The sequence below is a fragment of the Homo sapiens genome, chromosome 1, assembly GCF_000001405.40.
Source record: "Homo sapiens chromosome 1, GRCh38.p14 Primary Assembly".
NCBI classification, from domain to species: Eukaryota; Metazoa; Chordata; class Mammalia; order Primates; family Hominidae; genus Homo; species Homo sapiens.
This window is the reverse complement of record NC_000001.11, coordinates 172,086,360-172,112,450: the sequence shown is the minus strand read 5'-3', so window position 1 is coordinate 172,112,450 and position 26,091 is coordinate 172,086,360. Positions and strand designations below refer to the sequence as shown.

The following is a 26,091-nucleotide window of genomic DNA, read 5'->3' as shown; positions in this document are numbered from 1 at the left end:
GATCCCTAGCTCCACCATATTAGTCACGTGGCCTTGGAGAAACCAGAGTGGAAGCAAACAATTGTGAGCCCCAGCTCTGGTGCTGGACTTCATGAGTTTAAATCCTAGCTCTACCACATACTACATGTGTCACCCCAGACAAGTTATCCAACCTCTCTGTGCCCCAGTTACCTCAGTCATGAAACCGTTGCTACCTAGACCATAAGGTCGTTGTGAAGATTAAGGAAAATAATGAATGTCAAGTGCTTACCACAAGGCTGGTATGTAAGAAATGCTTAATCATATCAGCTATTTTTATTATTATCCATCGAAATGAAGATAAGAGTATATGCTCTGCAAGGTTATTTTGAAGAACAAAGCACCTAACACACTGCCTGATATAAAACACCCATGCAATAAATTATAGCTATTATTATGATTATTAAAATATCAAATATTCCAGAGAATGACAGGTAGAAGTATAAATACGTAGAGCAGTTTCTGGGCAATCCTTCCAAAAGAATCTTCTGGTATGCAATATGGACATCATCACCAACAAAAGATCTCGTGACACCTTTGTAGTCAATGAAGTTTTATAATTTGTCCTTTGCAAAACCCTTAAATGGCTAAATTGAAAGTAACATTCTAAGATTAAAAAAAAAAAGGAGTCCATCTATTATACTATTTTAACAAATAAAGAAGCTCTGGTAGCCCATGTGGCTCTCTTTCTTCTATCTACTCTGTTCACTATCTGAGTTTAGCACTTACATCACCTTGTTTTGAATTACTCGCCACTGTGTTTGCTGTGCTCCCATTTTCCCAATAAGATTACAGCTTATTCGTTCAAAGCATAGACTTTCTGGGCTTTTAGGTCAGTTCTGCCATTTACTAGCTATGTGAACTTAGGCAACTTACTTAATATAGCCAAGCCTCATTTATTGTCAACTAAGAATTGGAACTAATAATCCTAAATTCAAATAGATTTTGTAAATACTAAGTGAGATGAATGTATATAAAGTACTCAATAGAATGTCTGGCATCAGTGAAGGGCTGATATTATTATCAAGTAGAGATCAACTGTGCTTTATACTCCTTTGGAATACCAAATACTTATACCTTCCCTAGATCACAGATTAGTCAATAAATTATTGGTACCATGGTTCTAAATCAAGGGCAATATCAACACCAAGGGCTACTGTAAACATGTAGCAGTCTTATTGTATTGTCACAATGTCTGGGAGGTCAAGGATGATAAAGGAAAATCTCTCCCATCTAAAGCAACAATAGCATCTGCTAGGGTTTTAATATAAGTCATAATTCAGTGGTTTGCTCTAATTGTTAATCAAGCTTAAATCAGTTTCTTTATTAGATTAGAATTTACTATGTTCAGAATCATATTTCAGAGCTACACGTATTTAATTTAATTTTATTTTTTTGAGACAAGGTCTCATTCTGTCACTCAGGCTGGAGTGCCCTGGCACAATTTCAGCTTACTGCAACCTCGATCTCCCCGGCTCAGGGGATCCTTCCACATTAGCCTCCTGAGTAGCTGACACTAAAGGCGCATGCCACCTTGTCCAGCTAATTTTTGTATCTTTCGTAGAGACAGGATTTTGTCATGTTGCCCAGGCTTGTCTCCAACTCCTGGGCTCAAGCAATCCACCTGCCTCACCCTTTCAAAGTGCTAGGATTACAGGCATGAGCAACTGCACCCAACCTACATGTAACAATTGTTGTGGTGACATATTTATTTAGATGGAAAACTGAAATAGTCACACCTGCAATGACAATTAAATTTAAAATACCTTTTTTCCTTTGAATGACAGAAAGTAATGTCCAAAATTAATAAGCAGCTTTAATATATTTTAGAGTCTCCCTTTTGGATGTTAATGTCACAGTTTGAGTCATTATTTTATAGAACATTTATGTAGCTGGTGATTTAATTCCAGATTTTAAAATATTTAATTCTTTCATTCAACAGTTACTTGTTGGATATTTATAAGCGGATTCTATGTTAGACACACAGAATATGGCAGTGAAAATGGCAACTACTGTCCCTGATCTAACTGAGCATATAGTCAAATTGGGGAGATGGACATTAAACAAGTAGATATACAAAACTGTGGTGAGAGGAGTATGTATTTCTATGGGAACATGCAGTTGAGGACTGAAAATAGTGTAGAAGTCCGGAAAAGTACTCCTAAGAAAGTGCTATTTAAACTGATAAATGAAATGATGTTTTGGCAATAATGGAAAAGAAGAACAGAGAAAGAGCCTGAGCTATTGAAGCTGACTGGAGACCTGGAACACAGAATTCAGGAGTGTCAGGGGCAAGAGAAGGAACAGGGAGAAAAGAGGGAATGAATAATGAATGTTAGAACTTTATCTTATATGTAAAGGAGTATTTCTGAATGGTTGAAAGCTGAGGAGTAACAGGTTCAGAATTTTTTTTGTTTGCACCAAAACAAAACAAAGAACAACACATTAACTGTTTGACTTGTTTGTAATTTCAGCAGAATGTCTCAGGGTAGAGTGTTGGAGCTCCTGGTTAAAGTCAGTCTTTTAATTATTTGTGGATTTTAATTACCCATATTCTTCCCAAGCTGCTTAATGATGGCTAACTGAAAATTGGCTGTAACTCAAGATACTCCAGGAGGAAACTTAATAAAGTAAAGTATGTAACAGATGAATTCCTGATTTCCATTGAAAACTAAAGAACATATAAGTAACAGGCATTCTGATTTCTGATGGGAAATGGAGAGGCCCTGGTAAATATCAGTCATCCAGAGCAGCTATTTTGTTAATCCCGTAAACTAGTTGCAGATGTTGGCTCAAACAGCGAGGCTTTGCATCTGTAATTTTAAAATTGTCTCATATTTCTAAAACCTGACTCTGCATGCACCGGAAATCAGTGACATGAATTATGAACTCCAGGAAGAGGAGACGCACAAGAAATGCCAGAAGTTATAGGAGATAATATTTGGAGCAGTGGTCAGGCTATGTGCACAGGATGAGTGAAGGATGACATGGTTCCTTCCTCCAGGACATGGATCCTGCGACCAGGCATTTGAAAATGAAATGCTGCAAGTGGATGTACCAAACAAGAGGAAGTCATTTATAGATAGTTGAGTTCCCAAAAACAAATCCTCCTTTTCCCTTTTCCTCCTCCACTTTTTACAGCAGGTCAACAGGAAGAACAGAGTTGCTGGAAAAGAAAGAGATGTTTGAAGAGAATAAAATATATATGCTAAAAATTCCATAGCTTTATTAAGAAAATCAGTTTTAGTAGACTAGGTAAGGAAACAATAAAATGACTCGATATTAAACTAAGGTTTTTGTTATAATCGTACTTTCTTATAAAAGACAAAAGTCAATTGAGACTCAAATTAAAACTTAGAAAAGGGGCTGGAGATGGCAAAACTCCATAAAGAATTCATATTATAGTGCAAACAAATAATAATTATAGGCATTAGAAATTGTTTAAATTATGATGACTATATTTAGTATTAATATTTTTATTTCCCAAGCTTATTTTATTTTTGTTCACCATTTCCAAAGTAGTTCTCCATCCAGGCAATACAAATGGTAGTACAGCTAATAATCTGCCCACAGGGGCCATCCATCACAGGCTAAGTGTGTAAATAACCTTACCAAGAATCAGGACAAAAACTTCAGCCAATTATTTGGTAAGGCAAGTGTACAGTGCAAAGCTTCAAGGAACTGAGGTTCAATTATAAAACCAGGGCACTCATTTCCTGGATAGGGAACATTCATCCCATATAATTCAGCCTGATGGAATTCCCTGGGGTGGGGAATGGATTGGTTGCTGAGTCAAAGAAATTTCATAGTAACTTTGGGAGTAAGACATTTCATTCCCTAATTAGTGAATGCTCCACATGTTTACATTTTTTCAAGAGATTATCTCTTAAATTTTACTTATTTTCTGCACTTACATAATTAGAAAATATATATTGCTAGGCAAATAAACCATTTTGCTCTTTCCAGAATTATTCAGATACATCTGAGACCTGCATTAACTCTTTCAAGCTACTAAGACTACTCCAATTAAATCACAATCTTGCTGTACCATGCAAATTACTCCCAAGGGAAAGTAAAAATGGTTCCACAGAAGCTATAAGAGACTTGGTCATTGCAAATGTCTGAGGGAAAAAAGAAAAGGAGGGACTTCACTAGGGGGTGGGGGATTTATGGCAAATGGAATTTTGAACTGACATGTAGAGCTACTATATGATAAATCTGAGACCCTAAGATTAGAAGACATATACATATCTGAGGAGGAAAAAAAAGTAAGATTGTTCTCGAATAGGATTATCCAATTACAAAACAAAATTTTAAAATTTATGATAAAATGTCCTGATATGCCCTGGCATTTAGGTACCTTGACACCGAGACTTAAGATACAGCAGAGTCCTGAGTGAGAATGGAGACCAGAAGGTTAACCACCGGGTACCTCCTGCCTGACTGCTCTGATCAACATAAGCTTTCTTTTTTATGAATACATAATACAGGACTCCTTGAAATACCTTAAGAATGTAAAGATGTCTCATATTTTGTGGAATATTCTGACTCAGGAAAAATTCTGTAATGTTATTGCACTGAATGTGAAAAGATTCGTGCTTTGGGGACAGAAACTGAAATTTGCCTTGGTCATGGTGAATTTGGGACATATTTATTTTCAGAGGATTTAATTTCAGTATGAGAAGCAATGAACAAAAATAACAAAAGAGCACTATTGGAAATATATACAAGAATGTCTCATCTATTTACTCTGATTTTCACTGTGATAATGAACTAGTGGCATCCTTCCAAAAGAACATTCTGGTCTGCAATATGGACATCATCACTAACAAAAGATCTCGTGACACCTTTATAGTCAATGAGGTTTTATAATTAGTCTTTTGCTAAACCCTTAAATGGCTAAATTGAAAGATCCAGAGTTCTCGCCGGATAATAAGAGAAGAAATTGACATCCCTGTGCAGCAGTCTCAGCCTGTGAACTGATGGTGATTCTCCCAGCTGGCCAACAGCTGAAAGCCCTTTTACTTTTTTTTTTTCCACATTCCACTTAGTAACTATATTGAGTTTCACCATCTTCTTAAGATGTCCATGTAAGTCCTACTCCCCTCACTCCCAACAGATGAACCAGCCTCTTGTTTTATTTAGCAAATTGAGATATGCAGGAATAAAGTACACAGTATTTTTTTCTCCCTAATTTTGGTGGCATTTCTCTTTCAACAGGGATTTTAATAGTAGTGCATATTCATTATTTTTTTATAAAGAATAATGTTACCGGCCGGGCGCGGTGGCTCACGCCTGTAATCCCAGCACTTTGGGAGGCCGAGGCGGGTGGATCATGAGGTCAGGAGATCGAGACCATCCTGGCTAACAAGGTGAAACCCCGTCTCTACTAAAAATACAAAAAATTAGCCGGGCGCGGTGGCGGGTGCCTGTAGTCCCAGCTACTCGGGAGGCTGAGGCAGGAGAATGGCGTGAACCCGGGAAGCGGAGCTTGCAGTGAGCCGAGATTGCGCCACTGCAGTCCGCGGTCCGGCCTGGGCGACAGAGCGAGACTCCGTCTCAAAAAAAAAAAAAAAAAAAAAAAAGAATAATGTTACCTTAAATTGAATAATAAGAAAATTCGTTCAATGGCAAACAATCACTCCCAATAACCAAATAAGTCTTATAGAATAAAAGCAAGAATGTTTTCTAAGTATATCAATATAACAAATTACATAATTTATTCAATATGTAAGACCATAATCACTTCAATGAAATTCAATGCCCATTTTTGATGGAGAATCTCAGATACAGAGGAATAGAAGAATTTACTTTTTTTGAAAATTTCTTTTTTTAAAAAAACTTTTAAGTTCCGGGGTACATGTGCAAGTTTGTTACATAGGGAAACTTGTGTCATGGGGGTTTGTTATATAGATTATTTCATCACCTAGGTACTAAACCTAGTACCCATTAGGTATCCTCTCCCTCCTCCCACCCACCTAAATTTCTTTCTTTCTTTCTCTCTTTCTCTCTCTTTCTTTGTCTTGCTCTGTCTCCCAGGCTGGAGTACAGTGGCACGATGTCGGCTCACAGCAACTTCCTTCTTCTGGGTTCAAGCAATTCTCCTGCCTCAGCCTCCTGAGTAAGTGGGATTACAGGTGCATGCCACCACATATGGCCAATTTTTGTATTTTTAGTAGAGACGGGGTTTTGCCATGTTGGTCAGGCTGGTCTCAAACTCCTGACCTCAAATGGTCTGCCTGCCTTGGCCTCCCAAAGTGATGGGATTACAGGCCCATATTTATTTCTTTATCATACTAAATATATTTTAAACAAAAATCCAACATTAAAACTGATGGTAAAAGACTAAAAAATTCCCACTAAAGTAAAAAGCAGCTTAGAAAATCCAGTACTATTTTATATTGTTCTGTAAGGAATAATATATGAAAATAGAAATAAAAGATGTAACTACACAGTTGAAATAAAAATTATAATTGAATTTTTAAAACTACTAGAGAATCCAGTAAACTCCAGTGATACAAAATAAATGCTTAAAAATCAATGGTTTTCATGTAGCAATAAATAATTAGAAGATATAATTGAAAAATCCTATTTAAAATTACAACATGAGTATTTCCAGTTATTTTATATTTTAACAAGATATATAAATTTACCTAAGTTAAGGGGGAAAACAGAAAATTATAATAAACAGAACAAGTAACTGTTTGGATGGGAAAACAGCAAGTGAAAAAATGAGACTTCATCTCATATTAATTTGTAAGCTTTACACATACCCAATCAACAAATAGAACTCTAGTTGGGATATGACAAGATTTTAATCTTCAATTGAAAGAATAAGTAATCTACAAAAGCAAAACTCATTTTTGAAAAAAGAATAATAAAAGGAAAAACCTAGCAGTTATTAAAACAGACTGCTGCAATAATTAAAAAGTGTGTCACTGTACAAAAATCAACAGATGGAGGGATAAGACAAATAACCCAGATATGGACTCTAGGTTAAGAGTTCATCCTTCACCAGGACTGAAGCCAGAATTCTGCCACTTATCCATTGTATGACCTAGGGTAAACTATTTAACTTTTCTAAGCTTCAGTACCATCATTTATAAAACAGGAAAACTACTGGACCCTGTTTCACAGGGTTGCTGTAGAACTGCATGAGTGGATGTAAGGAATACATTCAAGGCAATACCTAGCCATAGAGTAAACTTTAAAGGAATGTGAACTGCTATGATTATTATGCTATTATTGTTGACATTATTATACAATCACAGAAGTATTGCAAATCAATGGTGATAGTATGGACTGTTCATATGATTATATTTGTACATTAGCCCCTTTGGAATAAAATAATAATAGCCCATAGTAACTGAGTTGTTACAAAATACACAGTGCCTTATGTAAATTAATGTGTTTAATCTTCACAACAACTCTAAGAGGTAGATGCAATAATCATTCTCCTTTTGCAAATGAGGAAACAGAGAAACAGAGATATTAAGGAACTTGCCTTAATATGGCTGGCAAGTGGCAGAACTAGACTTTGCAGATTCTATGCTCTTAGCCTCTATACTCTGCTCTGTAAGTTAGTGCCTCACCTCCTACCATGTGCCATGACGAATCTCAGACAGGTTACAGGGAAAAATGTCAATAATGGATGCATTAAAATGCTACAAACATAAGGATGAATACTTAACTGCTCTTAAGGTAGGTACCACCTTTCTAAATGTAAATACAGTAGAAGAAATGAGAGAATAAAGAACAATAAACATTACTATCAAACATTTTTTAAAACTTTACCTCAAGAACCTTATAAATAAAATTAAATTCTATATAAGAAAAAGTTAAAAAATTGTTAATAAATATGATAAAAGGTCAATATAATTATTATATCAAAATTCTCTTATAAATCAGTAAAAGTTAAAAAATATCAAAGAGAATATAAACACCAGCATGAATGGCTCATTCTAAACAGAAGATACTAGTGGTCAATAAGCATGAAAAATATTTATCCTCGCCGGTAAGTTATAGACATAAGTAACTGTGGTTTAAGAAGACAGAAGTATATGATTATCAAACAAACAAACAAAAATTTAAATAGCTAAGTATAAAAATCCACAAAAATATTGGAAGAAAATATAAGATAAAAAATAAATGCCATAAAATGTTTAAAATATTCTAAGCCAAAATTATAACTTTTTGTTTTATAATATCCAGTAAAAAAACTGAAAGTCAAGAGATAGATAAGCAGAAAATATTTGTACTATATATAATACAAACAAAACTAATACCCAGACTATTTTTAAAATCCTAAAAATCAATAAGAAAATAATACAATGGTTCCCTAAAATGGGCAAAAGACACATCAGACATTTCATAGGAGAAGGGATACCAAAGTCTGTTAAATAGGTATAAGGCTGGTCTGTAACTTTTTTTTTGAGACGGAGTCTCGCTCTGTCACCCAGACTGAAGTGCAGTGGCACGATCTGGGCTCACTGCAACCTCCAACTCCCTGGTTCAAGTGATTCTCCTGCCTCAGCCTCCTGAGTAGCTGAAATTACAGGCATGCACCACCACGCCCAGCTAATTTTTGTATTTTTAGTAGAGATGGGGTTTCACTATGTTGGCCAGGATGGTCTCGATCTCCTGACCTCGTGATCCACCCTCCTTGGCACCCCAAAGTGCTGGGATTACAGGCGTGAGCCGCCGCGCCTGGCCTCTGTAACTTTCAATAAGTAAAATGCAAATCACAACAACAATATATTATTATTTCTGTTAGATTATCAAAAATTATATAAAATATAATTATCCAGTACTGGGGATTGAGGTACTTACATATATAGTTGTTGGGTCTATGAACTGGTTCAGGTGTTTTGGAAAAACTGGAAACAGCAGAAATACCTATCCTTAGGGAAATGTGAATTAAGTATGGCACATCCATACTGTAGAACACTATAATATTATGCCACAAAGAAGTTTTGTCATTTTATGTCTGCGAATTTACATGGAAAAATCCCTAAGACATATCATTAAATGAATAAAGTGAGGTCAACTTCACATATTTACTCAGCAGCTACCATACACCAGCTTTTAGACATTGTTAGGGATACATTAATAAGCAAAAGAGACAAAAATCCTTGCCTTGGTAGAGTTTACAATTTTAGAACAAAACATGTACAATATTTGTCTATTTTTATTTTTTTAAATCACAGTGTCTTTGTGTGTGGGTGGGTGTGTACCCATGTGCTTGTGTGTGTATATATGTGTATATATACTCCAAAATGATAACAGTGGTGGTAGCTATGGAGGTGAGTGGGATTGGGTGGGGGTCAAGGGTGTATTTATTTTATCTGCATTATTCAACTTTTTCACAGTAAAAATGTGTTCATATATTTATTGTTTAACTTGAAAATTATAGATTCAAAATTATGTACTTTGGATACAAGTAACAAATGGATACTTTATTGGCTCCATGGATACTTTGTGCTAAATAAGCTATACAGTGGTTAATAAAATAATATCTTTGGTGAGAAACATTAACATTTTTAAATGTTATCAAAATTCCAAGGAATTGGAATAATACAGGCATTTGCTTACTTGGAATCAAACACACCACACTTGTAAAACAGAGAGCATCAAAGAGGATAAAAGAGACAGAGGGAGGAAAAGAGGGAAGCAGGGAGGGAGAGAGAGGAGCTATGGGGCAGCCGGAGGGAGGCAGGAGGAGAGATGCCTTTGTTTCACCAGTTGTTCTTCCTCTGGTGAAACAAGACCATGCCTCTACTGTCCCAAAGTAAAAACATAGCAGAAAACCTAGATTCTGCCTATTGAAGGGGTATTTCAAAGTAATTTTGAGTAGATAAGATAATCTCTTCACTGGTTTTTATGCTCTAAACCCTCCATTAAGATGCAACTTGGCTGTAAAAATATGGAAAGAACATCTGCTTATTTTCTGGGGAAAAAACATAAGTGGCATACATTAAATACTATTCCAAATAAAACTCTAGATCTCAAAGACGCAGAACAAATTAACAGGCTGTATATTTGACAAAGTGTGGTTTTCATAAACTCTAATCTCTATTTTATTATAATAAAATAATGATTATTATATTTTACAAGCTATTGACTGGCCCCTTTGGAGATATTTTTATAGAATTAAAAAACAAAATGGCAACAAATTCAAATAGCCATTGTAGTTTTTTGGTTCATCAGATTAATTTCTATAAAGCCGAGCTCATTCTTTTCAGATCTAATGGCTTTATTTTAAGAAAAATTTTAAGTGGCCGGGCGTGGTGGCTCACACCTGTAATCCCAGCACTTTGAGAGGCCGAGGTGGGTAGATCACCTGAGGTAAGAGTTCAAGACCAGCCTGGCCAACATGGTGAAACCCCGTCTCTACTAAAAATACAAAAATTAGCCAGGCGTGGTGGCACACATCTGTAATTCCAGCTGCCCAGGAGGCTGAGGCAGGAGAATTGCTTGAACCTGGGAGGCAGAGATTGCGGTGAGCCGATATCACACCATTGCACTCCAGCCTGGGCAACAGAGAAAAACTGTCTCAAAAAAAAAAATTAAGTAATAAAAAAAGCAAATTAATGTAAATGATGAGACTATAAATAATTGAGACTACAAAATGAGATGCTTGATGAAATTTACAAACTATTAGAACTGTGGTTAAACACAGTGATTAGAACTGTGGTTAAACATGGTGATTAAGATTTGAATCCTGGTGCTATCATTTATGATCTGTGTGACTGGGCAAGTTACTTTGCCTCTCCATGCCTCAGTTTTCCCATCTGTAAAACTGAGATAATAGGGGTACCTACCTCATAGAGTTGTTGAGAGGAATTAATGAGCTAATGTGTGTAAAACACCCAACACCATACCTAAGTACCTAACTAGTATTATCACATTTAATACAAAAACCTTATGAAACAGTTACTATTATTATCAGCTTATTACAGATTAGAAAACTGAGGTACAGTAAGGTTTAATTAATTTGCTCATAGTGACACAGTGACTCTACTGTGTCAGCTCTGAAGAACCAAGGCACTATGTTGCTTCTCAACCTAACATAGTCAGTAGAATTATTTTTAAAAGGAAAGGGAGAGAAGGGGAAAGTCATGAATTGGAAAAATAATTAAATTTTATTAATAAATGAACCATAGGGTTTTAATGATGAGGTATTAACCATCTCATATTCCTTTAAAAAGACAACATACACAAAAATCCTAGTATCCAAATTAGATTGTTCTGAAGACAAATAATGCTCAGCAAGTACCTGCCTTCACCTGTGATGCACCTTCTCCAGCGTCTATCCTTTCTTCTTCCAGCAATAGCTCTTTCAGGGGGAGAGGCAGCCCATGTGTTCTGGTGAGGAACATCCCTTGTCCCATATGATGTGGCCTAAGTCAATCAGTATACCTCATTCTCTGGCCACAGTGAATAGTTCAGAAATAAGCACATGATCCACGCCAGTCCAATCAGACTGAACCTTAGAAGGTTTTCTGAAAATCCTGGGAGAAAGACTCTTATTTCTGCTGGATTCAAAGTAAGAAGACAATTCCCTGGAGACTGATGACAGTCATCTTGCAGTCCGTTGGGGCAAGAACAGAACCACAGCAAAAGAGCAGAACAAAAATATGGAAGGAAAAAAAACTAGTTCATGGTGACACTATTTGAGCTGTGGATTAAATAGTGCTCGATTCTATCCCTGAAGTGTTCATTCATGTAAACTAACAAATTCCCTTTTTTCCAGGGTCATTTGAGTTTTCTGAAATTTACATCTGAAAAAATCCTAACTGATAGAGATATCGGTACCAGGAAGTCAGGTAAGACTTGGAGTTAAGAGTGACAGACCCTAAAAGGTGGAATTAGCTGAGCGGAGAAAGGCGAGAGGACTGGAAGGATCTCTCTTAGGCTAGGATGTTGGCAATCTTTGTTATCCATCTGTTAAAGAACTGATTAAACTGTCACCTTTTTAACATTGGACTCAAAGCATGTACATACAGAGGTTGAAGAACTAGGGGACATGGCAGGAAAATTTCAGGATAGTGAGGTCCATTTATAATTTTCTGAGACCTGTGAGAGATCCTATGAAAAAGACTAGTGTCTACTAAAACTAGTTTTCAGAAAGTAGGGAGAGAAGAAACCCTGTTTGGAAGGAAACATCTTTTTCTGTTTGCAGCCTATAATACAAAAGGTTGATAATCCAGTTACCTGGAGACCTGTAGGTTTGAGAAGCCAAATTTCATATTCCAGTCTAAAGTTAGAACAATAGTGGGCACATGGATGGCAAACAAAACTGATAATAAGCTTGAGACTAAGAAGTACCCTAATATCTAGGCTCATGCAAGCACCTGCTCTACTTCCTGCTTAAAGAAAAAGTCTTTCCAGTTATACAATTGCAGTTGGATACATTCTCGGGCCAAGGAGCATGTCAACAATGCCTTCCTGCTAAGACTCTTGAGGACAAAGGAATGAATTATCAGTCATGTAAATGCCACATCAGTCCTCCTGGCCCCTAACATATTCCAACCAAGGACATTTCATCCCCATTTGTTTTCAGCTACTCACACCTTCCGAAGACAATGTTCCACAAATATTTTTAGTTATCACTTGTGCCCCTCCCTCCAGTGTCTGTTATCTCTTACTCCAATAACATCTCTGACTTTCAGGTGGCATGCTCTTTACTCTTAAACTTTCAAGTACAACATGCCACTCACTGACTTTAACCTCCCACCTCATAATTTCTTTTCCTTAATCCTAGCACAAACTTTTTCTGATTTTAGTAAAACCTCCAGTTCCCTGGTTTGCCCATTTCCTTTCAATTTTCAGTCAACATCATCTTTTTTTGTCTTTTTTTTTTTCCTGGGCACAAGCTCAGAGTATATTTTTCTATTTCCCACGCAGCTAGGTGAGCCCAAATGACCAAGTTCTGTTCAACGATATAGAAATGATGTGTGCCACTTATGGACTGGTTCTTAAAAACCTCCCTTGCCCAGGCTTCTGTCTCTTTCCCACCTGCTGCAAGAATGAAATTTGCAGGTTCTATGCAGGAGAAGGCAGAGAAGGGAGATTTTGGAATCTCTGGGATTCCAAAGCCCAGTCTGTTACTGACCATGTGAAGCAAGGTATCTCCCTGCATGTTGATGACCTTCATTGAATTATTATAGGAGGGTGAATTAAATTTGTATTATGCTAATCTACTGAAATCCTGAGGTTGCTTGTTACCTGGTTAATCTATCCTGATTAATACATCAATTAAAGCTACTCATGTGAGATTACACAGTCCTTTACCTCAACCTGTCTCTCTTAAAAACTCTAACTCATCTTCTCTCTTGACCTTCCATGCTGCCTCCCTAGAAAAACACCAGCTCAGAATATCAATTCATTTGTCTGTGTCCTCAGCTTTATGCCACCTTCCAACTGTAGAGCAGAAGAGCAATTTACAAGGCCAAGAGAATTCGTGCTATCACTGGACCCTCAGATAGTCCCTAACCTGCACAGGACCTTCCACAGTCCAACTATCTGACAACTTCCTCCAAGTTCCTTGAGCTCTTAGAAACATCTAACTATTGACTATTCCCTCCTTGAAACATTCTCTCCCTTTAGCTTTTGTTCTACCACTTGTTGCGGAAAGTCAGGGACCCCGAACGGAGGGACCAGCTGAAGCCATGGCAGAAGAACATAAATTGTGAAGATTTCATGGTCATTTATTAGTTCCCCAAATTAATACTTTTATAATTTCTTACACCTGTCTTTACTGCAGTCTTTGAACATAAATTGTGAAGATTTCATGGACACTTATCACTTCCCCAATCAATACCCTTGTGATTTCCTTTGCCTGTCTTTACTTTAATCTCTTAATCCCGTCATCTTCGTAAGCTGAGGAGGATGTATGTCACCTCAGGACCCTGTGATGATTGCGTTAACTGCACAAATTGTTTGTAGAGCATGTGTGTTTGAACAATATGAACTCTGGGCACCTTGAAAAAAGAACAGGATAACAGCAATGTTCAGGGAACAAGAGAGATAACCTTAAACTCTGACTGCCAGTGAGCCAGGCAGAACAGAGCCATATTTCTCTTCTTTCAAAAGCAAATGGGAGAAATATGGCTGAGTTCTTTTTCTCAGCAAGGAACATCCCTGAGAAAGAGAATGCGTCCCTGAGGGTAGGCCTCTAAAATGGCCGCTTCGGGGGTGGCTGTCTTTTACGGTCGAAGCTGTAGAGATGAAATAAGCCCTAGTCTCCCGTATCGCTCCCAGGCTTATTAGGACGAGGAAATTCCCACCTAATAAATTTTGGTCAGACCGGTTGTCTGCTCTCAAACCCTGTCTCCTGATGTTATCAATGACAATGCGTGCCTGAAATTTCATTAGCAATTTTAATTTCACCCTGGTCCTGTGGTCCTGTGATCTCACCCTGCCTCCATTTGCCTTGTGATATTCTATTACCTTGTGAAGCACGTGACCTCTGTGACCCAAACCCTATTCGTACACTCCCTCCCTTTTGAAAATCACTAATAAAAACTTGCTGGTTTTACGGCTCAGGGGGCATCACAGAACCTGCCAACACGTGACATCTCCCCTGGACACCCAGCTTTAAAATTTCTCTGTTTTGTACTCTGTCCCTTTATTTCTCAGACCAGCCAACATTTAGGGAAAATAGAAAAGAACCTATGTGAAATATTGGGGGTGAATTTTGCCCGATATCTGACTGAATTTCCCATGATAACCACTCTCCAAGTTTTCCTACCTCTCTCATCACTTCTTATTTGCCTTTTCAGTTCCCCATTCAGTTCCAGTTCTTCTTTCTCCATCATGCTTTAAGTCCTACATTCCTTTCTATGTTCTCATCCTTTGGAGGTGGTCTCATGTACTCCCACGGCTTCGGATACCATGTATTTATTGACAACAGTGAAACTTATGTCTCCAGTGTACATGAGTCCTGAACCTCAAACCCCAATGATATCTCCAATAAGCACAAACATATTCAAAATTGAAATCAGCACCTTCTTCTATTTTTTCTTTTTTTTTTTGAGACAGTCTTGCTTTGTCACCCAGGCTGGAGTGCAGTGGTGTGATCTTGGCTCACTGCAATCTCTGCCTCCTGAGTTCAAGTGATTCTCCTGCCTCAGCCTCCAGAGAAGCTTGGATTACAGGCACTCGCCACCATGCCTGGCTAATTTTTGTATTTTTAGTAGAGATGGGGTTTCACCATGTTGGCCAGAATGGTCTCAATCTCTTGACCTTGTGATCCACCCACCTCGGCCTCCCAAAGTGCTGGGATTACAGGCATAAGTCACCGTGCCCGGCCCTAAATCAGCACCTTCTGCTCTCATCTCCCCTTACACCTGCTCCCCCTTCTCCTGCACTCCCTTTGTCAGTGCATGCCCTTAGCCATAAGCCTAGGAGGATGACTTAACCCCCTGAGAACTCTTTATAACCCTTCCAATTCTACCCTCTGAATATATTTTGAATCTGTTCCTTCTGCTAAATACTACCTGCAACCAATGTTTCTCTCACCTGAATAATTTCAAAAGCATCCTCACCAATTCCCATATCTCTAGTTTGTCTCCTTCAAACTATTCCATTACAGACCTTTCTAATATAAAAATCAGTTGAGTTCCCTTCCCTATTGGAAATCCTTCCATGAGTCTCCAATACCTTTGGAAGAAAGAGTTCTCTGTCACTTCTGGACTTAAACACTTTTATCCACCTTCCTACTGGACATTTTTACTTCAAACTCCCACGGTGACTCATACTCAGAAAGCTAACTTTCATGACTCTGGATCCCAATCTGACTTTTTCACTATGCTCCTTTCTCTGTGAAGAGCAGCACCATCTTACTTGTACCTAAATCATAAATCTTGATGCATTGAAGACAACCTCCAGCCCTCTCTCCGACATCCAATTTATCACAGATTTTTTGGATTCTTCCTACTTAATATCTCTTGAATTCATCAGCTTTTCCTCAAATTCAGTACAAACACCCAAGCCCGGATCACCACAATTTTTCATCCACAACAGCCTTCTAACTAATCTCCTTTTTCCAGTCTTGTCTCACCTTCAAAGCCTTTCTCCACAAATGTTAATATGATTGTGCTTAAAACCTTACTATAATTCTGTACTGCTTTAAGCAACATAAAAATAGCTTTAATGGGTCTTACGTCCTAATGAAGGAAGACAAAAAATAATAAATAAGTGAATAAATAAGATTGTTTCAAATAATAAAATGTAATAGATAGTGAAAGACATTGGGAAGGGAGGGTGACTTTAAATCTGGTGACCAAGGCTGGCCTCTTGCAGAAGTGATGTTTCAGTAAGACCTGAAGGGTCAGCAGTAGCTAGCCTTGGAAAAGGAAGTGGACTTCAGTTTGCTTACTTACCATCATCCCCGCTGAGCTGTGGGCTTCCTGAGGGTGAGGCCTGTGATTGATGCATCATCATGCTTCTCTAAACACCCACCACACATTTTGACACAGATAGGTTTTGAATACATGAGTGGAAGGATGAATGAAGGTTAAATTTAAATTTTTGAGCAGTCCAGCTTTCGGTAAATTATGTGCTCACATTTTTTTGTACATTTGCTGACATCAACTTGTGAAACTATTACAATTTCTAGGCAGACATAAACAAAGCAAATTTAGACTTTAAAGAAGAGTTTTGCCCTTCTTAAATCCTTCTAAAATATTTCAGAACAGATGCTGCACAACAATCTTCTGCAACCAGGAGCCCTAAGAGGATAGCAGCATGGATGAATCACTTCCTAGGATGCTGCAGAGTGTTTCAGCCCCACCAACCAGAAAAGCCAGCATCAGTCGGAAGGGTGGGCCCCAAAACTCCCTGGATTTGAGCCTCTTAATAGGCAAAACTGTTTTCATATAAACCCCAATCAACATCATATGCTCAGATTCATAAAGAAAATTTCAAGTCATTATGGTTTATTTCTGCTAAGTAGGAAGAACTACTGAAGATCCTTTAAAATATATTGTATCATGTATACATTATTGGATTTGATTCTGGAAAATAATATATTCTAGTTCATAATCCCTTGCTTGCAAATTGAAAGCTTTTTTCTTAGCAAATTTGGCAGCAAAACCTGATCTGATGTGAGAGGATTTATCTTTTATTTAAAAGTTTACTTGGTGTAACTATTCCTTTGTTTCACTGCAGAAATAGAATATGTTTCATTATATGGTGCTGTCTCTAACTCCACAAAATGTAGGGTAATATATGATACAGTTAATAAAGTCCAAAAAATTCTGACCTTCAAGGCATGTCTGGCCCCAGAAGTTTTGGATAAGGAATCTATATTCCATTATAACACTCACCCAATTCTATTATCTTGAGATGTAATACTTCCATAATGTGTGGGCTTTGAAGTATCCAGCAAAAGCAAAGTCACAGAAACACAATTAGCATGATTTGAGCATTTGGAAGTAATATAACTGAAAGCTGTTCCAAGTTTCCTCTGATCTAAAGTATGCATATATGCTATTATACTATTGATTTTCCTACATGTACATACTTCTGTGAGCTAAGCGATGCTTCTGACTGTGAGGAAACTTTTACAGGTAAATCCTTTATATCATATCCAACCACAATCTGGGCATTGCAGGCATCAGAACAATTTCCATAGCTTCTAATTTTCCCAAGTGTTTTGTTGTTCTCATTTTATAAATTTTATAATCTTCTTGTACTTAAACTTTTTCTCCCAAGAGTTTGAAGAAACAGCACCTAACTTTTGGGAGTAATGTTTCTATTCTTTACAGGGCACATATCTGGTACTGGGCTGCAAACCTCATTATGTATATCATTTCTGAATCCCACCATCATCCTGAGAGATATTTTCTATTCCTCTCATCACACAGCTGAGCAAACTCAGGCACAATGTGTCCCAGGCCACATAGCTCTTAAGTGACAGAACAGAATTTGAACCCAGGAATGTCTAGGTCTAAAACCTGTGTCTTCCCAAAATATCATGGGGCAGATAATTGACCCATGCTCCAATCTCATTCTCAAACTGTGCATAGTTGGAAGAATAAGCCTGCTTTATCCGTGGTAGAAATTAGAGTTTAATTTTTTTTCTAAATGCTTATGACAATGTTTTTACACTTCCATAAAAGAAGACATAGTATCTGGTTTTCAAAGATTTAACTCTATAGCCATATAAAATGTCCATCACTATAACTTTGCTTTTCTGTTTTTTTAAATAAATGCAAATAATTGGTATTGGGTAGGCTTATCAACAAACACAGCAAAATCAGATACTCAATATTTACCCACCTTTTAGAAGCATCATCTACATTTATTGGAAATATTACCATACAAGGGGAAGAGAAAGGCTTACACCTCATAACAACATAGCATAAAAGGACAGAGATGAAGATCATTAATGATTTTAATTATTTTAAGGACCATTAAAATTAGAGAAATATCAAAGCACCCACAGTGTTAAGGGTTTATTATTACAGCATTTTAGAGTTTACTAGTTCATACCTTTCAATCACAGCAAGTTATTAGCAGTGAAGGGATGAACCCTCTTAAGAGGATTTTTATTTCAATGATAGGGTGTTACGGACAAGACAACCTAAGTTTAAAAAAAATTAGTAGCAAGCGCTAGTTGAGTTAATCAGTTAAAGACAAACTGTGCCCTTGGGAAGCTAAATGAAAAAGCAACAGTAAAGCTTACAGAACTTAGCTCGTACAATTTGCCTTGAAGGCGGAAGATTGGTTCCCTGAAATAGCAAAGAATTATATGCTTTAGTTCAGAAAAAAAGTTTTTAAAATAAAGTCTGTTATTACCTCTTCTCCTTTCAAAACAATGGGAAAAAAATCTAGAGCAGAGGTTTCAATTTGTTCAATAATTGTACCTCTGAAAGTTTTTTAAAAACTATAACACCATCATTGTTTTGACTTGAAAAGAAATAACAATGCAAATATTCATTATCACATAAAACATAAAAGACACAGCAAACTGTTGAGTTAATACAATCTCTGCAGAGCGCTATTAGTCAGAGACAGCTGGTCAGCCCAAAACACAAAAACTCAAAAGATCAGATCTTCTTAGGAATTAACATCTTCATTAACCAACAAGAATTTAGTGTGGCAGAGATTACATCCAACAACTGCGTTCTTCATGAGCTGTCCCTTCACTGATACCAAGCTGTGCAAATGTGTGAACTAGTTAGCAACCCCAGAAAGCTCATGCAACTACTCACCACATTTTAACCTTCAACTGACTCACAAACTCAATGTTAAATTAAACTTAGGGGTAACGTAAGCAAGCAAAATAGGACATGAGGAGTCAAATTTGAAATGCAGAGCAAGTAGCAGAAAGGTTATTTAAAATAAATCAATATGGTTAACTGCACAAAATAGCCAAAAAGAAATGCAATTCACTCCAAAAATTTTAAAAGCAAAAACAAATCAAAATGAAAGCTGCATTTCAAGCAAAATTTGCACGTGATTAATTTGCATTAAAAAAATAGTCAATCAAGCGATTTAGTTCAAATTCTTTGGGACATGCATACACTGATTCTCTTATGCAATTCCTACCTGATTTCCAACTGTGGTTTTCTTGTGAACCTGACTGCTCCTCTGCTGAGCACTGAGAAAAGCAAAGGAAAGCAGCACTGAAGAGACACATATAATTTTTTCCTAAACAAGTAACAAATACTAAAATTTATACAGGCTTTAAAAAAAAAATCAATGGAGACAGACCTAATACCAAAATTCCAGGTCAGTTTAATTCTGGAAGCAAAACCAACTCAATGGGACTCCTAATAGCACATAACTCCTAGTAGCATATAAACCAAAAATATAATAACACCACTTAAAGAAAAGCTGCATTGTAACATTAATAACATACGAGTTGACATATTTGCAGTGTCTCACAGGTACAGAGGAGAGTTGTAATGGAAATTAAGTTAATGATTATTGAGTATATGCCATGTTCTAAGTGCTTTATCGATATTAATCATTTTTATTCTCACAGCAACCCCATGAAGCAGTTACGATTATTCTTCTTGTTTCATAGATGAGGAGAGAAGCTAAGTGACTTTCCCAAAATCACTCAGCTAATAAGTGGTAGTACCAAGTAGCATGGCTCCGCATCACAAACTCTTTGTGATATTGTCCAGTCTCACTGCTTTGAATTCCAATATATTCTGACAACTCCTTTAATGCATCTCTGGTTTGGATCTGCCATGTAGATCCAAATATGTATGAGTCCCAACTCTGGACTTATTGATGTTTTTAACAACTTAACCTCATCACTTGGGTATTTAATGGGCATATCATTCTTAATATTTCAAAACTAAACTCCTGAAATCCCCCCTAAAATCTGTTCCACCCACAGTCTTCCTTCCTCCTCTTAACTAATGGCAATTCTATACCATACATTCAAGTTCCTTGGCCAAAATCTTTGTCTCCTCTTTCTCTCACAACCCATATCCGACCATCAGAAAATGCTGTCGACTACTTTCTTATAATAAATTTAACATTTAACCATCTTTTCATCACTTCCATTGGTCCCACCTTGGTCCAAGACACTGCCATCCCTCATCTGGATTACTGTAATCATTTATTCTCTGGTCTCTGCTTCCACACTTGTCTCCCTGAAGTCTATTCTTAACAGACACCAGAGTGATACTTTCAGAAGGACTATGTTAACTCTTCTGCTCGAAACCGTGTACTGCATCAACACCATTCCATTTAATGGTAAAAACCAAAGTCCATACAAGGGTCTACAAGGCCCTACTCAAGCAACCCCCACTACTGCCTCTTTGACTCATCTCCTCCTACCCTTCACCTTGTTCCCTGAAGAGTTCCAGCCACACTGGCATCTGCTCTTTTTCAAACCCACCCAATACACTCCCATTTAGAGCCTTCAGGCAAGCTAGCTCCCTAGGATGTACTTCCCGCTTTCATCTGCATGGTTCCCAACATCTCTTTCAAGTCTTCATTCAAATCCTTCTTTTCAGTTAGGACTACTCTGACCACCCTATTTATAACCGCATCCCTCCCTTCCTCCAAGACTATCATCCCCTTTACCCTGTTTGATTTTTCTGTCTGGCATTTCTCACCTTCCGATACACTACACGGTGTATTTATTTTTTGTGTTTGTCTGCCCTTTTCCATTAGACTGTAAGCTCCTAATGAGCAGGGGTTTGCGTCTGTTTTGTTCACTGCTATATCCCCAGGGCCTGCAAAGGACATGGCACATGGTTGGTTTCATGAAATATCTGTTCGATGAAAAGCCCAATGAAGTTGATGCCATTATAACCCTCATTTTAGACATAAGCACAGAGGGTTAAAAGCCAGAAAGGACTCCAACAACTTAACAACAGAGCCCACACGTTTCATCACTAGGTTACTCTATCCCTCAAAAGGACAAAGGCTTTCTTTTGGTGGATCCATGAATAAACACGTATCAATATAAGAAACACAACTCATTTTGGTTATTCTGGGAAGATCAGCAATACTCAGTATTCTTACAGATTGTTTAATAGTTTATGGAAGCTGTTTTGGAGATCAATGAAATGGTCTAAAATAGAGAAAAGGGAGACTAAAGCTCTCAGTCAACTGTTTAAAGTGATGGGATGTTGTGCTGCAGTAACAAGTTAGAAATCAACACCACACTTAGAACAGCTGATCAAAATAAGTTTTTAATAAACTCCTCTGATACATTTAAGCTGCTTTCCTTCACTCAAACTCATGAAAAAACACTGCATTCAACTGAAGGTGGGCAGGGGGTGGGTGGTGAAAGGCCATACTGTATTTGGTTGCTAAAAATATTTTGTGTATATATTTTTTTCCAATTTAAAATTTGCTAATTTCAACTTCTTCCTTCCTTGTTTTTTATTTTTCCAGCTTTCTGTTAAATGGTTAATCCTCTTAATTACGATGAAATTATTTCCTCTTTAACCATTTCTCTGAACAATCTAAATCTACATTATTCAGGTCTTGTAGGTGAGGCTGTGAAAGAGGTAACCAGGATCCAATGTGCCCACACCGCCCTCTGGCTGCCCTCATGCCCTGGCGCACACAGCGTCTTGAGTAGCACTCTCCTAAGGGCTTCGGATCTCCTCCTTACTTTCTTTTTCCACATTAAATGTCACTTTTCCAGCACCCTCCAGGCTTCCTGCTCTTCCAGGAATGCATGAGAAAACTACTATTATAATGAGATCATGACACCTTCATAGGTTATGTTTATCTCTTCCAAGCACCATAATTGTGTTTTAGGAGTAATGTTTTCACTGAAACACTGACTAGTGGTGAAAACCTGTGATAGACCCACAGGTGCTTCCTTTGAACAAATTATTGTAGACCCTAAAATTATGTATCAGTCCCCTTCAAATCACTTAAGGGAAAAGAAGTTGAATGTAAAGCAAAAGCCGCAAAGATCGTTAATGACTCCTTTGCTACCTTAGGTGAAAAGTTTGATCAAAATGGACTTCAGTCGCTCAGCTATAAAATGTGTATATGTGTGTCATAAAGGAGACAGACAGAAACAGAGACAGAGAGGAGGGCTAGAGGACTAAACAAGTTGTTTCTTAGGTTCCTTTTAGGTCCAATATTCCTTGAGATGCAAAATTACTCTCAGAAGCTTATAAGCTACACTAGATAAAGACAATGTCCATTGACAGTTTCCATCTGTGAAATAATGCATATTTAGGATCTACCACTTGTAAGAATATGCCAAAGGAAAAGTAGATTTACTTTATAAGCCAATCTCAAATATTAGAGTTAGAAAAAACACTAAGTTGCCTCTATTTTCCACCTAAAGAATCTTTTTGCAGCAATTGGCCCCATAAACTTAAACATTCTGTTGCTAATGATGTATTTAGCTACTTGAAGTTACTTCAAAAGCAACAACAACAAAAAAAGCTGCCTGCTTAGAATACATTCTTTCTCATAATTCTTCTGCATAATAATTGAACTGAGAGTATTTCAAAACATTTATTTAAAAATATGTTCCTTAAAAAACCTGTAAGGACTTGCAAGTTAACTTGAGCCCTTGGACATGTTCTTGGATATAGTTACTTAACCAATTAACTCTGAAATATTATAAAACATACCTATGTATGGTGTTTTAGTTTAACATAAATCAAAAACTATAGGGCACGAACTCCGTAGCATATAAAAATATGAATAAGGTATAGTTCTTGTTATCAAAAGCCTACAATTTGTCTGGTACAAGTAATGATATGCATACACAAAACAAAAATAACAAATAAAAAATAAAATCCATATTAATAAACATGTGAGGATGTAATAGAAAGCAAAAACAAAGTGCTTCTGTTTTAAATGTGGGATATAATTACCCATATCTTCTCATATGTGTGTGCGTGTGTGCACGCACATTTGTCGTTTGTCATATAAATTCCTACTACACACAAGTCACTGTGGAAGGCTTTGCCAGAACACTAAAACGTAGAACCAAATTGGTGTATGCTGAGACATAATGATTCTAAAAGTATATAACAAGAAGTTTAAACTTCTATAAAAATAAGAGTACATTAGAAGACAATCAGAGAACCCCTAATGTTATCTCTTGGCTCAAAACTTTTTTGCACAGTGTCCTATCCTTGTCTATGATGTGTGACCATTTATCAAATAAATCCTATACCATTGTAATTTCTCTGAATGTTCAGGGACAAGAAATATAATTTCAGATGATATGATCTGAACTGTTTGTAGCAAACTTGAAAAGAAGATAAACTTTAATAAAGGAAAACAAATGACTACGTTCCAAGAGAATAGACTGGTATTAGCAAAGCCAGGAAGTAGAAAGATGAGGCATATGGGGAAGTTGTGGAGAGTAAAACTATTATGGTAGAATTATCCAATCATAGACTGGGGTTTGTAAGTGATCTTAAAAGCCATCTAGTATAATAACTGTACGTTGGGGCCAGTTATGGAGAATTTGGCTGTTACTCTGAAGGCAGCAGAAAACATTCCATGTTTCTGTGCCAGCAAGTGACATGATCAAGGCAATGTTTTAGTACAAATTAGTTCCCTGAAATGCATAGTATTGACTCAAGCAGAGAAGACAGGAAGCAGTCAGCCCAGACCCCCTGTCTCTGACTATTGGAGTCCTGTCCAGTCTTAAAACTCCAATCAAGCATCATGCCTGAATTATGCCTTTTTAGAAACCTCCAGTTATCTCTCCTTTTCATGCACTCCCAAAGCCTTGGTCTGTGCCTGTATTTTATAAACAAGATTGTAAGTTGGGTTTCCAACAATGCCTGCTCCTTGATAGTCAAGAGCATCAATCTTGGTATTTCTACCTCTCTCATCACTGACATTACCTAGCAGAGGGTTTATGGTAGTATCTTAAGAAATACGTATGGAATTCTGTTTTGATGCCAGGGTTATTTACAACCAGACTATCAATGATCATCTGTACTAGGAAACCTAAATAATTTGAAGAAGCATATCATAGGCATGTGTTAAAGCAAAAGTATGGTACAGTTAGGGATCCCAAAGTGGTCAGACTGGCTGCAGCATGGACTTAGGGAGTAGAGTAGAAAGGAATAGTAACAATAGAATAGGCTGAAGAGGTAAACAAGATACAGATTATAGAGAGCCTTGGAAATTACATTAATAAGTTTAGACTTTATTCTGAAAGTAACAGAGAATCTCAGAAGGAATGAGAAAGAGGATGACAGGGGTACAGAGAGACTGTTGTAGTAACTCAAGTAAGAGAAGACTAACTTTAGTAGTGGCAATGATGATAGAAAGAAATAGATGAATTCAAAAAATATTATGGAGATAGAATCACATGAACTTGGTAAAGATGGATGGAGACAAAGATATGAGGGGAACAAGGAGCAAAGAATAGGACTGGGAGGTGCCATCCACAGAAAGTGGGAACAACATAGAAGTTAAAAATTATAAGAGCAGATGAGGAGTTTAGTTTGGGACTAGAAGGTTGAGGCTTCTCTAGGATATATAAGTAGAGATGTCCAATAGACATCTGAATATGGTACATAGTCCAGTGAAAAGTCTTGAAATGAAGATCTAGATTTGGAGTCATCAGATAAAGTTGGCAACTAAAACCATTGGAGTGGGTAAGATCCATTAGGAATAATGCAGTGAGTGAGAAAGAAGGGGGTCTAGGGTGGAAAATTGATTAAAGAATAGTTCTTAAGCCATGATCAGAAGATGAAGAGCTCCTAAAGACTGAGAAGTGGCTAGAGTGAAAAGAGGAAAACCAGGAGAGAGTGGAAGGTTATTGAAGCAAAGGAACAGATCTCTTCAAGAAGGAGTGATTAACGGTGGTGTCAAATGAAAGGCTCAGAATTGTCCATTGGATTAACTGTTTTGTCCTGGACAAAAGCAGTCTCAGTGGAGTGGAGTGGTAGAAACTAGATTGCAGTGGGCCGAAAAGTGAAAGGAAGATGAAAAAGAGAATGGAACACAGACTAAGGCCACTCAAAGAGGGCTCAGATGCATTAAGGAAATGGAGAGTCCCTTTGAGATGTAGATTCCATAGCAAATATCAGAGTGTGCCTCTACCTCTACCCACATTTCAACTGCTCAACAGCCACATACAGGTAGTAGCTTCTGTACTGAACAGCACAGATTATACGATAGTTCCATCATCTCAGAAACTTCTATTGTGCAACAGTGCTATAGAGTAAAGAAGCTCTTTTAGACTTGTTTAGTAGCAATTAAGAGGCTTCCTTGCTCTTTCTCTCAGTAGCTACCACCATAGGTCACCACTAAGCTGTCAATAAAGTAGGACCCACAGTGAAGGTCCCAGAGCCATCAGCCGGAGTCACTATACTGTAGGGCTCTGCCGTCCAATGCAGTAGCTGGTAGCCAGATTAAAACTTTAATTAGATTGAATTAAATTAAAAATTTATTGCCTTCATTGCACTACCCACATTTCAACTGCTCAATAGCCACATACAGCTAGTGGCTTCTGTATTGAACAGCACAGATTATACAATAGTTCCATCATCTCAGAAAGTTCTATTGTGCAATGGTGCTACAGAGTAAAGCAATTTTAGACTGTTCTTTTATATTATCCAAGAAAGATTATGAACACTTCACAAGAGTCCC

The 26,091-nt window shown here is 37.3% G+C and overlaps 1 protein-coding gene across 25 annotated transcripts in view; it reads right to left on the bottom strand.

Annotated features, from left to right (window-relative positions):
* Window positions 1-26,091, bottom strand: part of DNM3 (dynamin 3) — a 576,969-nt gene that overhangs the window by 306,016 nt on the left and 244,862 nt on the right. For 13 of the 25 annotated variants that reach the window (XM_017000979.2, NM_001350206.2, XM_017000976.2 and 10 more), the window contains exons 13-14: window positions 19,576-19,627; window positions 18,726-18,755 (exon numbers count right to left, since the gene is read on the bottom strand). In XM_017000979.2, coding sequence (XP_016856468.1) covers window positions 18,726-18,755; window positions 19,576-19,627 — 82 coding nt within the window. Of the gene's footprint in view, window positions 1-18,709; window positions 18,756-19,575; window positions 19,628-26,091 lie in introns of all 25 variants that reach the window. The other 12 variants (XM_017000984.2, XM_047417389.1, XM_017000978.2 and 9 more) reach the window with 2 other exon arrangements.